The sequence below is a fragment of the Homo sapiens genome, chromosome 10 (assembly GCF_000001405.40).
Source record: "Homo sapiens chromosome 10, GRCh38.p14 Primary Assembly".
Classification (NCBI taxonomy): Eukaryota; Metazoa; Chordata; class Mammalia; order Primates; family Hominidae; genus Homo; species Homo sapiens.
Window position 1 is genome coordinate 58696419 of NC_000010.11, and position 12439 is coordinate 58708857.

A 12439-nucleotide genomic window follows, 5' to 3' on the forward strand; every position below is an offset into this window, starting at 1 on the left:
TTTTTTTACTATGAATATTTGCTATTCATCAAATCTGATATTACCGTAAGAATGAAGTTACACTTCAATTATTAGTTCCCTATAGGAAATGAGCACAGTAAATCTAACAACAGAAATTTAAAACAATTATATATTCAAATAATTACATTTTTAGATGGACTCCTCCAAAACCTCTTCTTTTCTTATGACATATAAGATTGCTAGTATAAGAGAGCAGCTAAGGAACCCTAACAGAGATTGGTAAAATTGAGAAGAGATTTCTTTTGTCAATGAGGATGTCCGGAAGTTGAAACTGACTTACCTGAAATAGCAAAATCATACAGCATCCAGAATTATGAGTTAGAACAAGAGTTTTAAAATACTTAATGTGTGTTTTAATGTTCATAGACAATGATTCAACATCAGATGTTTGTTCTTTGAGCTTTCTTTTGGTTTTGTGGTGGTGAAAACAGGGACAATAGTAAGATTTTAAGAAACTGGCTGGAATTCACTCTAGGGCTTCCCCCACCCCCCTGCTGAGACGACATCATTTTCTTCGTGGAGATTTTGTGGCTTTGCATAACTTGGCATTCTCTAATTTAACTGACAGCATGATATTTATAGTTTTGTTACCATAAGGAAGTACTAATTATTTTAAACGTGTTTCCCAACTTTCAGGTAACATTTCACACAACTGGGAGGCATCAGCGTCATATTTTGGGTGGGGAATGACCAGAATGATCCGCTTAATTGAATTATTCCTTGAAAGCAAACTAAACATTTTGGACAACATATTGACTCACTTAAACATATCACATGTTTCTTGGAAGTGATTTTCTTGTCAGATTTTTTGGGAATTAATTGGATTGTGAGAAATGTACAATATCCTCTTGAAAAAGTGTCAGTGTCTCTGTCCATAGTAGCATTCATAAAATTATCTCTTTATTTCCATGATGTTTTTGAAAATGTTACTTTAATGTTTATAGAAAATAATTCAAAATCAGTAGTTTATTCTTTCAGTTTTGGTTTTGTGAAGGTGCAAATAGGGACAATAATGAAATTTTTTTAGAGATCAAAAACCAACTAGTTGAAACTCACTGTGGAGTTTTTTATTTCCCCTGAAACAAATAGTCATTTTCTTCTCAGCGGTTTTGTAGCTTCTTTGATTTCAGCCACATCTTCCTAGCCTTACCTTTTCCAGTTCCCTAATTTACCTGCCTTGATGAACATTTAGGACATATTTTTGCATAGCTTGTGGATACAGAACCTCTGACTTGCTTACTGCCCTATCTCCTGCCTTTGTGCCCTTTCTTCCACCCCATGCCACTTGCAGGAGATGTGCTTGTCGGCCCCCAGATCCAGTAACCTAGCTCCAGTACTGGGGTTCCTGGACCAACCTCCACCCACACCCCCTGCAGGAGATGTGCTTGTCAGCCCCCGGATGCAATAATCTAGCTCCAGTACTGAAGTTCCTAGACCAAACTCCACCCACACCCCCTGTAGAGACCTTGTGCTTCCTCCCCCACCTCCCACCCCCATGACAGAATGCGTCACACTCCACTACTCCCATCACTGGCTGAGGCTGTCACAAATTAATAGTGTGCCATATCAAAGCTGTAAGAATAGACCTGGAGTCATTGTAGATGATGGTTTTAAAAGCTTCATTGATCACATCCTAAGGAAAATTTTGACTTCCCGAAAGTGAGTAAGTGTGGCCCCTTCCTATGTGTAATCACTGCACTGGCCAGAATTTATTTGTAGGGAGTGTCAGTTAAGCACAGGTACTTGGTGGCTTCTCTTTCTGTCATGAATTCAAGTCAGTTTGAAGGGTATTAGTGTGCACAGCCGTAGGACAGTGGGGATGACAAGAGACACGTTACCTGTCCTGGATGTGTGGGGTGAGCCTTGAAGCCCTTCGGCTGCACTGAATCACCCTCAGGGCCTTGCAGGTACCAGCCCTCTCTTCTTTTTCCAGACCTTTCCACATGCCCTCCTCCTCTGCCTGGGACACATTCTTCACCTTTTCTCCAGTGAGCCAACTTTTTCTCCTCCTTTAGGTCACGGCATTAGTAAGCATTTTCTTGAGGTAGCTTTCCTTGACTACCCACGACCGGGTTAGGATCCCCTCTGTACATGCTCATATTGCACTGCCCCATTCTGAAACATGGCACACAGTACCATGATGGCGGTTGGCTTATCTTCTCCCTTGTTAGATTCTGAGCTCCTGCAAGGTAGGAATTATCTTGTTTGCTGTTGTATCCCTAGTATCTAGGACAGTGCCTGTCTGACCAAAAGTTATTAATATCATCATAAATACAAGGGCTAATATCAAGCACTCAGTACGTGCCATGCTATGTGCTTTGGGTTTTCTTAAGTTCTCACAACAACTTTAGAAATAGATACGATAAAGGATTTTACAGAGGAGGAAATTGAGATTGATAGAAGTTAAGTAATTCGCTCAACACAGCACCCCTAGAAAGCAGCAGAGCTGGTATTTGTCTCCGGAGTCCCTGCTCATAATGGCTAGATTACACACAATGATGAACAAATAAAGGATGTCTGCAAAGGCATCTGGCCAGAGCTCTGTGTGGGGCCAGCAGCTTCATGAATGATCCAAAGAGTTGGCATTAGCTGGCCACAAATGGTGTTCCAGAGAGTCACTTTTTTTCTAGTCATATAGGAGAGGTCAGCTCCAGATGTCAAATTCTAATTACTGGCAATTTGTTTTCTCTAAGAGGTTTGGCATTTACTGTGGCTCATAGAACTTTAGAGGTCGTGTGGTACAGTATACAGAGCTCTAGTTTTAGAATTAAGGATTGGAGGCTTGGGCTTACCCCACTTTCCCTTAAACACAGTGTTGATGTGAGTAGGTTGAGAGTGGTCTTTGTGAACCCACTTCTCTGCACGGTATAGACAGGGAGTTGTAGTGTGGCTTAGAGGGAGTGTGTATAAAGCTGTCTTCCCAACTTGATGGCAGTTACCTGCTGCTCTTAGGATATTTTCTCTGGCATATTATTTTCTGTCATGGGCATCTATTGGTGCTTAATAAAATAAGTGTACATGCAGGGTTATTTCTGGGCACTTCTACTAATGATTTAAGATTTCAGAAAGTTAGGTCTTCTACACATATGTCAAAAGGCAAACTTATCTATTACAGTATCATAATATGGCCCTTGACTTCATTTACTGGATTAAGCAACTGCATTATTTAATTCAGAAAAAGAAAAGCATGTAGATTGTTTTCTTACTGCCTCCCCACCAATAGCAACATTATAGTAAGATCTTATTTTTCTATCTTTCTTTCTTTTTTTTTTTTAAACAGTGTCTCAATCTGTAGCCCAGGCTGGAATGTGGTAGCATGATCATTGCTCACTACATCCTTGAACTCCTGGGCTCAAGTGGTCCTCCTGCTCCAGCCTCCTGAGATGGGACTACAGGCATGTGCCACCACATTCAGCTAATTTTTGTATTTTTTGTAGAGACGGAGTCTCACTATATTGTCCAGGCTGGTCACAAACTCCTGGCCTCAAGCAATCCTCCTGCCTCAGTCTCCCAAAGTGCTGGGATTATAGGCATGAGCTACTGCATGCAGCCTTATTTTTCTATCTTATCTCTTTGAGAGTCTTAAGTAACTTAGGGGAAAATTCTGAAACTAGTTAAATCCGGGGCCTGCTGTATACAGGGCAGAGAACTTAGTTTCTGTTTTGCAGAAACAGGTTGTAAATAAGTAAGTTCAGAAAATAAGAGGATTTCCACTTGCAATAAGGGTTAGGAGGGAAATAAACACAGTGAGGTGGGAAAAATAATTGTGGTTGGGTTGGTGTGAGAGTAGAAAAGGATGGGGAGTTGGACAAGATGGCAGCTGAAGTCTGAGCATGAGAAGGGGCTGGGACAGGAAATTCTGAGGAAGAGATAATAGTGAATGCAGGGACTCAGAAGGGGAGCCTGCTGGGCATGTTTTTGGGGTGGCATCATGGCTGATGCAGAGGGAGTTGAGAAAGATAACATTTTTTCTTTTTTACTAGTGGTTTAGACTTAACTAACCAAGTTAATGGTGCAAACAGTAAACACATTAGCAGAGACAGGCATGAATGAGAGAAGCAGCAGCCGGGGCCAGGTGCTGTAGGATTAAGGTAACGAGCTCACCTGCCTTCAGGGCCAGACCAGTACCTTGACTTAGTGAAGACAGTGTGGGCTTAACTTTTGTTCAATTTTTAATAGAGACATAAGTGTAGAGAAATATTGCTCTGAGAAAAACAGCAAACACCATGATAAATGGCAAGTGAGCAGTACAATGCCATGATGATGATGGCAAGTGGCCTTTGACCTCGCAGTCAGAGAAGTAGTAGGGACTGGGAGCAGCTCAGAGCCTGCTGGCCCTGACTCAAGGGGGCAGCTGTTTCTCAGTGCCAGCCAAGCATTGCCATGTGGGAATGTGAGTGGTCTGTGCTAAATTTGCCAAGTTTTCCAGAGAACCAGAAATCTGAATTGTTCTATGAAGTTCCCAGATTTAAAAATGTTGGCTCAAACTTTAAAAAACCTTACAATGAATAGACAAAATGCATCTGTGGGCTTACAGTCTGAAACATCTGCTGTAAGCCCTTTTATATTATGATAAAGGGGGCTCATGAAGTTTGATGTATGTGAACCATTTCCTTGTGCCCGGTACGTAGCCAGTACTGAGGAGAAAAAGGTACTTATTATTGATTGCACCCTTGATGTGTTTAGGTTGTTTTCACCATTAATATATTTAATGAACTCTCAATCCATATTAAAGATAAATATTATCCCAGTCTAATTCAAGTGATTAAATTAATACATGATTTTTTTTTGCTGTTTGCATATTGGTTAGTAGTTTGCTCTATTAGTTTGGTTAATTCTATGTTTGTCTTACATGAGCAAACATTAATCTAGTGTAATTCACGTAAAATTAGTGAGGAACAGAGGACGCACATTTTAAATCCTGTTCTTTTCTTATTTACCGTCCATTTCCGTTGCTGGGCAGTCGTTGCTTCCCTCACTTGTCCTGGTGCTTCCACTCATTCAGGTCTTGAGACCTCCTAGACAGTGTTAGCTGCATGTGCAAGTGGGAAGGACCTTTGGCAAAAATGCCATTCTGAACCAGGCAAAGGATGATGGGGAATGCAGTCTTACGACGTGATGTCGCGTTTAGAGGGTTTTCATCAGTTTTAATGAAATACAAATGCACCCAAAGCAAGTTATTTTTTCCCCCAGGGAAAAAAATCTTCATTTAGTATGGTCTAACTCATGCAGTTTTGTATTACAGGAATCATGTTTGGTGTGTTGCAATCCCTTGGCAATTGTCTTGGGGAATTTTATTCAGCACAAGCATCTCTGATGGTTCTGGCATCAAGTTGGGTTAATTACTTGTTCATGTACTTTTTGGTTTGTGTCTATGTTAAAATTCTGAAGCATTGTGGAGAGGAACACTGGGAGTAACAAAATATATTTGAATATTTCTAATAGATTAAAGGCTTATAAAAACATCTCTTTTCCCCCCAGGGTTTTTTTTTTCTTTGCATTGTTTTCAAATGAGATCATTTTGTATGAACATGAACTTAGGAACTTGAAAATAAACTTTTTTGTGTGTGAAAAATCTTATCTGTAAATACAAGTTTTTAATTGAGTCAATATTTCTCTCAATTTTTGTTACAGATCATGGAGGAAACAAATACGCAGATTGCTTGGCCATCAAAACTGAAGATCGGAGCCAAATCCAAGAAAGGTAAATTGTGAGAGGGCAAGAAATAGGTGGTTTTGATAACTGAGATTATGGAATTACTGCAGGTTTGCTGGGGAGAAAACTAACCTTTATTCTTAACACTTTTGTCCCAAAATGTTTGTTAAGTAGCAGTCTTTCAGGAGGATTTTCATAATTAAAAATTATAGTTTTTATCCAACAACAGAAAAATATTAACTATTAACATTATGATAGAAATGTAATTATGAAAGATATAGCAACCTGTGATTTCAAGGATGCTTATTCGATTGATATCCATGAGTCATGGTAACTCTTCACATGTTTTTAACACATAAATTTCTATTGTTTATATTTCAGGGTTCTTTTTTATGTACTACACAGATTTAATAGCTGGTTTTTTTTTTCCCTCCAGTATGATATGAACCTTAGATTTCAGGTCTCGAGTGCTGCTTGTCTTCATCTATCAGACAGCAAAGAACCCACTAGATTTCTCTTTTAGGCTGAGTGTTTCCCTTGCCTGGTTTTACCCTATGGGACACTACCCAGTGCATAGATGTTCAGAAATGAAACTAAAGGCCTCCCTAGTTTTCTCCCTGGATTACATAGTGTTTTCAAATGTGACCTGCCAATATATATTTTTATGGATAGTTTTTAAAGTATGACCTTAGTCTCAACAAACTTTGTGGAGTATATTTCATTAGAAGAATGCAGATGCATGTAGTTGTCAGGATGTAATGACAAATACCATCAAACAATTAAAAAATAATTGCAGTCTGAGCTGCAATTATCCATCATGGTCTGGCATTGTTATTGCTGCTGTTTAGTTTCGTATTTGCTGCCCCTTCTCCCCATGACTTACTACTAAATGATAACACTGTAAGATTTCTCAGTTTCCTTTCTTACTTCAGTCCAGTTTGCCTTCTTTTAATTGCATTTCGTTAGAGTTACTCATCACATGGAATAAAAATTATTTTAGTTATTTAGTGAGTGTTGTTAGCTGGACTTGAATTGACTGGAATTCCTGTAGAAACTCCTATCTTGCTACTTTTTTTTTTTTTTTTTGGAGACAGGGTCTCACTCTGTCACCCAGGCTGGAGTGCAGTGGCACGATCATGGCTCACTGCAGCCTTACCCTCCCAGGCTCAAGCCATCCTCCCACCACAGACTCAAGTAGCTGGGACTATAGGACACCACCATGCTTGGGTAATGTTTGCATTTTTTGTAGAGATGGAGTTTCACTATATGTTGCTCAGGCTGGTCTTGAACTCCTGAGTTCAAGCAATTCTCCTGCCTTGATCTTCCAGAGTGTTGGGATTACAGGTGTGAGCCACCGCACCCAGCCTTGTTACCTTCTTAATTGTTATCATGGGCGGCAAGGAATTGGGAACTTATATGCTAAATAATCATAAGAAGACATGGTGAATTTGCAAGTGCAATTCTGTATCTTTGTATAAGCCTGTATTTCTCAAGTGGTGTAGAATATATTCTTAATTAATCTTCAGTAATTTTTGTGGTATGTTGGAATGTTTTGTACTCATTATGCAGAAGAAGAAACTGCCGTTCATGGATTATCTAGCTGTTTGCAGCATTTAAAAATTTCTGTCCTACTACTTGAATAAATTGGAACTTGAACATAGACTAAATCTTCTTTCCCTGTTGTCAGGCATTTTTACTTAAAGAATAAAATTAGCTTTATTACTAGCCTAATAAAAATGCAACTTAATCAGTCTCCAAAGAAAATCCCCAAGGAAACATGAACATTTAAACAATGCTAGATAACTTTTTATGTCTTATTCTCTTGCAGTATCCATGCTGTTGTTTTCCTCTCCCCATGCCATTATCCTGAGAAACTGAGAACTGATTAGTTTTTGTTCAAAATGTGGTGGCAACATTAGACATTTCAGAAAATGTGGAGCTGAATAGATTTTATTCATTGGTTTCTTGTCATTGACACTTAACCCATTCAAAATGGCCAACTATATTGCACATTTTGATTATATATTTTGCTTTGGAATTAAGAATATTTCAGCAGTACATTCGAGGGTGTTTGGCATAATTTCCACCTGGTTAAAATTAACCTTTGGAACTATGCCTAAGAATTGATCCCTTCAGGCCTGGATCTATAGACATCATTTATTTTGTATTATTTATGAAGTGTTATGGATGTATATAGTACTATATGATGCGCAGAATGCACTTAAAGAGAACATGGAAGGGAGAGAATCAGAAGTTTGCCTCAGAGGAATTTACTGTTGAGAATTTACTTGAGTTGCTCTTATCATTTAAGCACACAGCTGCTGAATCAGTTCTTGGCTAACATCCCTGGTATGTGTATACCTATATTATTTTTTAAATGATTCACTTCAGAGATGCAATTTTTGGACCATAATTTGTATTTAATAAAAGTGAAATGAAAATGGCAGGAAGAATGTTAGAAGGTAATTATTTGCTCTTTGATCTGATGTGGCTTTTCCTTCTCACCCCTGAGTGTTGCAGAGGAAGGAATTGTTGGTCTTTAGAGCTTTTTCATTCCAGACTATTATTATTCAAGAGACCCAAGAATATAAATGTATTTAGGGACTCATGCCGTGTTTTGGATGATTATTACATTCTAAATCCCATGGTGATGTGAAACTTTGGAATATACACATAATCCCCAGGCTGAGCTAGAGAGACAGTACAGCCATAGGTTTGTGTTGCATTTCACTTTGGAGTTTCTAAAATGCATGTTGGCTAAATATTTGAGCCTAGACAAACATTTTTCGTGGTCGCTGTTACCACAGTTTGCCCCCTTCTTTACCTTACTGGAATTTAGTCCTGTGTTTCCTAAATTAGCTTCCATAGCTCTGTCTAAACTTTACTTTTTAAGCCATTAATCCTTTATCGAGAGCAGCTGTGTGAGTGGCCGTATGGCTCACTTGCTTGAAGAGCTGGAAGGAAGCTGCCTGGCAAGAAGGCAAGCAGCCAACAGCCTGAATTTGCCATCAGTTAGAGAGTTCAGATTCTTCTCCTCTAAAGATGTTGGCTTAGTAGTTCTGAGGCTGGTACTGGGAGCTGCTATATTTAACAAGTTTCACTACTTGTTCTTATGGTCAGACTGAGTTTGGGAAACACAAATCTCACCATCTGATATGGAAATATCACTAAGAAGACCATGTGTTCTGAAGGCAAAGGGTGACCACTACTGAGAAACAGCAGAGTCCTTCTACAGTCGCTTCTGGATAATGCCCATCTTGGCATCTATAGAACTGCATTTTTATGGATGCATTAATTTCATTTTTCTATCATCTTTGTAGTCAGTTAATGTGGATTAGTTTAGAGTGATGACAACCTCATTGTTCTGTGCCTGTGCTAAATGTTGGATAAAAGACCATCTAATTTTTGTCCATTCCCTTTCCTCCTCCCTTTCTTATCATCTCACTTTTCTTTCTTACCTTTCACTCCACTTTCATTCTTCTGTGACCGTATTCTAGATGGAATATAGTAGGGGCAAAAGTAATAGAAATATTTTCATGTGCACAGGGCATTTTAGGGAAGTGCATGTTTTGTGATATAAACTAAGGAACTATAGAATTATTTAAACTTTTTTTAATTTTAGATTCAGGGGTACATGTGCATATTTTTTACATGGGTTTATTGCATACTGGTGGAGATTGGGCTTTTAGTGTTACTGTTACACAGATAGTGAACATGGTACCCAATTGGTAATTTTTCAAGGCCTTGCCCTAGAATTTTTTAAAACATCTCTAGAGTATTTGAAATTATTGGAAGGTTGAGTCATCATTAGAGCTGGAGAGAACTGAGAATTTAAGGTTCAGTATAATGGACATTTAAATGGGTGACTGTAGAATTGTCTTAAAGAGGGTCACGATTAAGAACAACAAAGCAATATTTGATATTTCTTCTGTATCACGTAAATTTATTTTGAGTGGATAAAAATTTAACTCCTTCTGACTCTTAGATTGAGAATACTAGAACAGTCTCCTTTACATTGAAAAATTTGAGGTTTGTGCCTGTGAAACCAGTATTTAGGGATTAAGGTGTTTAATACCATACACCCTTACCAACAGAATAACTTCAAGGACTCATTAAAATTTTGAACATGCTATTCTGAATCATAGCCTTAATATTTTAAAATAAATGCAGCTTCATTAAAGTACAAATTGCATTCTTAACAAATTTGATTGTTTTGCCAAATAGAAGTCCTGCCAGACCTGCTTTAAGAAATACATAAAAATGATTTGCAATGAGCATTTATCACACTGGTATATTGTGCTGTGAGCTTCATGATGCTAGATAAGTTTGTTTTCTTAAACAAGGTAAACATTTTTCTCACAGTCTTCTTTTGCTCTTAATCTGCTCATCAGTCTCTTCTTAGACTGGCGAAGGTGAACGGTAAATGATATGGTTTGGCTGTGTCCCCACCCAAATCTCATCTTGAATTGTAATCCCCTTTATCCCCAGATGTCAAAGGAGAGATCTGGTGGGAGGTGATTGGATCATGGGGGTGGTTTCCTTCCACGCTGTTCTCATGATAGTGAATGAGTTCTCACAAGATCTGATGAGTTTAAAACTGTTTGAAAGTTCTTCCTTCCCACGCCCTCTCTCCCCTGCTGCCATGTAAGATGTGCCTGCTTTCCCTTCTGCCATGATTGTAAGTTTCCTGAGGCCTCCCCAGGCATGCAGAACTGTGGGTCAATTAAAGCTCTTTCCTTTATAAATTACCCAATCTCAGGTATTTCTTTATTGCACTATGAAAACAGACTAATACAGTGAGTAAAAAAATGTTTAAAGTTTTTAAGCCAAATTTCAAATAACTGAGGTCAGCATGAGTGAAGCTTTATTGCAGAGTTAAACCAAGTGATAGGAACTAATCCCTGCAAGTGGTCCTTGCATGATGACTTAGGAAACCCCAGGACTAGCAGGAATGAGAGGCATTGACTGGGTTACTTGATGTTTCCTGGTTTGGAGACAATTTGGCACCAAGTTTAGCCATTCTCTTCCTCCCAGAATCAACAAAAGAATCTTCGTAATTCCATGAGGTTTTATTGTTTTTGGTTACATTTTATCAGAACAAGTAGGTATCTAATAGAAAATGTTAGCATGAGAAAAATAGTAGACAGTTCGTTTTGTTTTTTCCAGAAGAAAATGTTTTGTTGAGTATGCTTACACTTTTATTGGGTGTTCATAGTGAACTAGTTAGTTGAGGGCTTTAACATAGTTGTACTTAAAGGGCTGAGGGCACGGAAGAGGCATGGCAGGGCATGGCATGCTGGACCAAAGTGTTGCTAATGGTGGGTTGCAACCTATTCGTGTGTCAGGTGTTAGGTTAGTGCGTCGCAGCCAATAGTAAAATAACCCAACTAGGTTAAAAAAAAATAGAGTGTAAGGGCATTGTTTGTTATTAAATTTTTATTTTATATTTTTTGAGACAGAGTCTCACTCTGTCACCCAAGCTGGAGTGAAGTAGTGCAATTTCACCTCACTGTGACCTCCGCCTCCCGGGTTCAAGCGATTCTCCTGCCTCAGCCTCCTGAGTAGCTGGGACTACAGGCACACACCACCACGCCCAGCTTATTATTATTATTATTATTTGAGATGGAGTTTTGCTCTTATTGCCCAGGCTGGAGTGCAATGGCGCAATCTCGGCTCACCGCAACCTCCACCTCCTGGGTTAAGCGATTGTCCTGGCTCAGCCTCCCGAGTAGCTGGGATTACAAGGCACCTGCCACCACGCCCGGCTAATTTTGTATTTTTAGTAGAGACAGTGTTTCTCCATGTTGGTCAGGCTGGTCTCGAGCTCCCGACCTCAGGTATTTCAGCCACTTCGGCCTCCCAAAGTGCTGGGATTACAGGTGTGAGCCACCGCGCCTAGCCAGCTAATTTTTTTTTTTTTGTATTTTTAGTAGAGACAGGGTTTTACCATGTTGGCCAGGCTGGTCGTGAACTCCTGACCTCAAGTGATCTGCCTGCCATGGCCTCCCAAAGTGCTGGGATTACAGGTGTGAGCCACCGCGCCTAGCCAGCCAATTTTTTTTTTTTTTGTATTTTTAGTAGAGACAGGGTTTTACCATGTTGGCCAGGCTGGTCTTGAACTCCTGACCTCAAGTGATCTGCCTGCCATGGCCTCCCAAAGTGCTGGGATTACACGTGTGAGCCACCATGCCTGGCCAATATTTAATTGATAGAATACTTTACATATTTATAGAGTACAGTATGATATTTCAATACAAGTATACCAGATGTAATGCTCCAAGTGAAGCGGCATCATTGTCTGGGGTAAATTCCTGAGGTTCGTTGTCTCATGCCAAGGAAATCAAGGACACGGACACACATGGAGTGAGGTTAAGAGCAGAGGTTTAATAGGCAAAAGAAAGAGAAAGGAGAACAGCTCCCTCTCCTACAAGAGAGACTTCCAGCCTGCAGTAGAGTGCACAGGGTTTTATAGACAGGCTTGAAGAAATGGTGTCTGATATACATAGGGCCCGAAGATTGGTTGGACCAGGTGTGATGTTTACATAGCACGTGAAGAAGCTGGCCACTCCACCCTAATCTTTTACTATGCAAATGGGGTCTCTACTTGGCCTGTGCCATGTTGCCTGCTTACTTACTGTGCACGTGGTTGACAAGGAAAGGGGAAGATGGAGCTGCCGTGTTGGACCTACCTAGCCCCCAGGTGGTCTTTTCCTAGTGGCACAGTTGCTGGCATTCACCCATGCAAGCTTCCAGCTTGCTTGT

General features: G+C 39.7%; 1 protein-coding gene across 12 annotated transcripts in view; it reads left to right on the forward strand.

Moving 5' to 3' along the window:
- The window catches only part of BICC1 (BicC family RNA binding protein 1), a 319216-nt gene that overhangs the window by 184199 nt on the left and 122578 nt on the right, over positions 1-12439 (forward strand). For all 12 annotated transcript variants that reach the window (XM_047425780.1, XM_047425781.1, XM_047425778.1 and 9 more), the window contains one exon: positions 5656-5725. In XM_047425780.1, the coding sequence (XP_047281736.1) occupies positions 5659-5725 (67 nt within the window). In that variant the 5' untranslated portion in view covers positions 5656-5658. The remainder of the gene's footprint in view (positions 1-5655; positions 5726-12439) is intronic.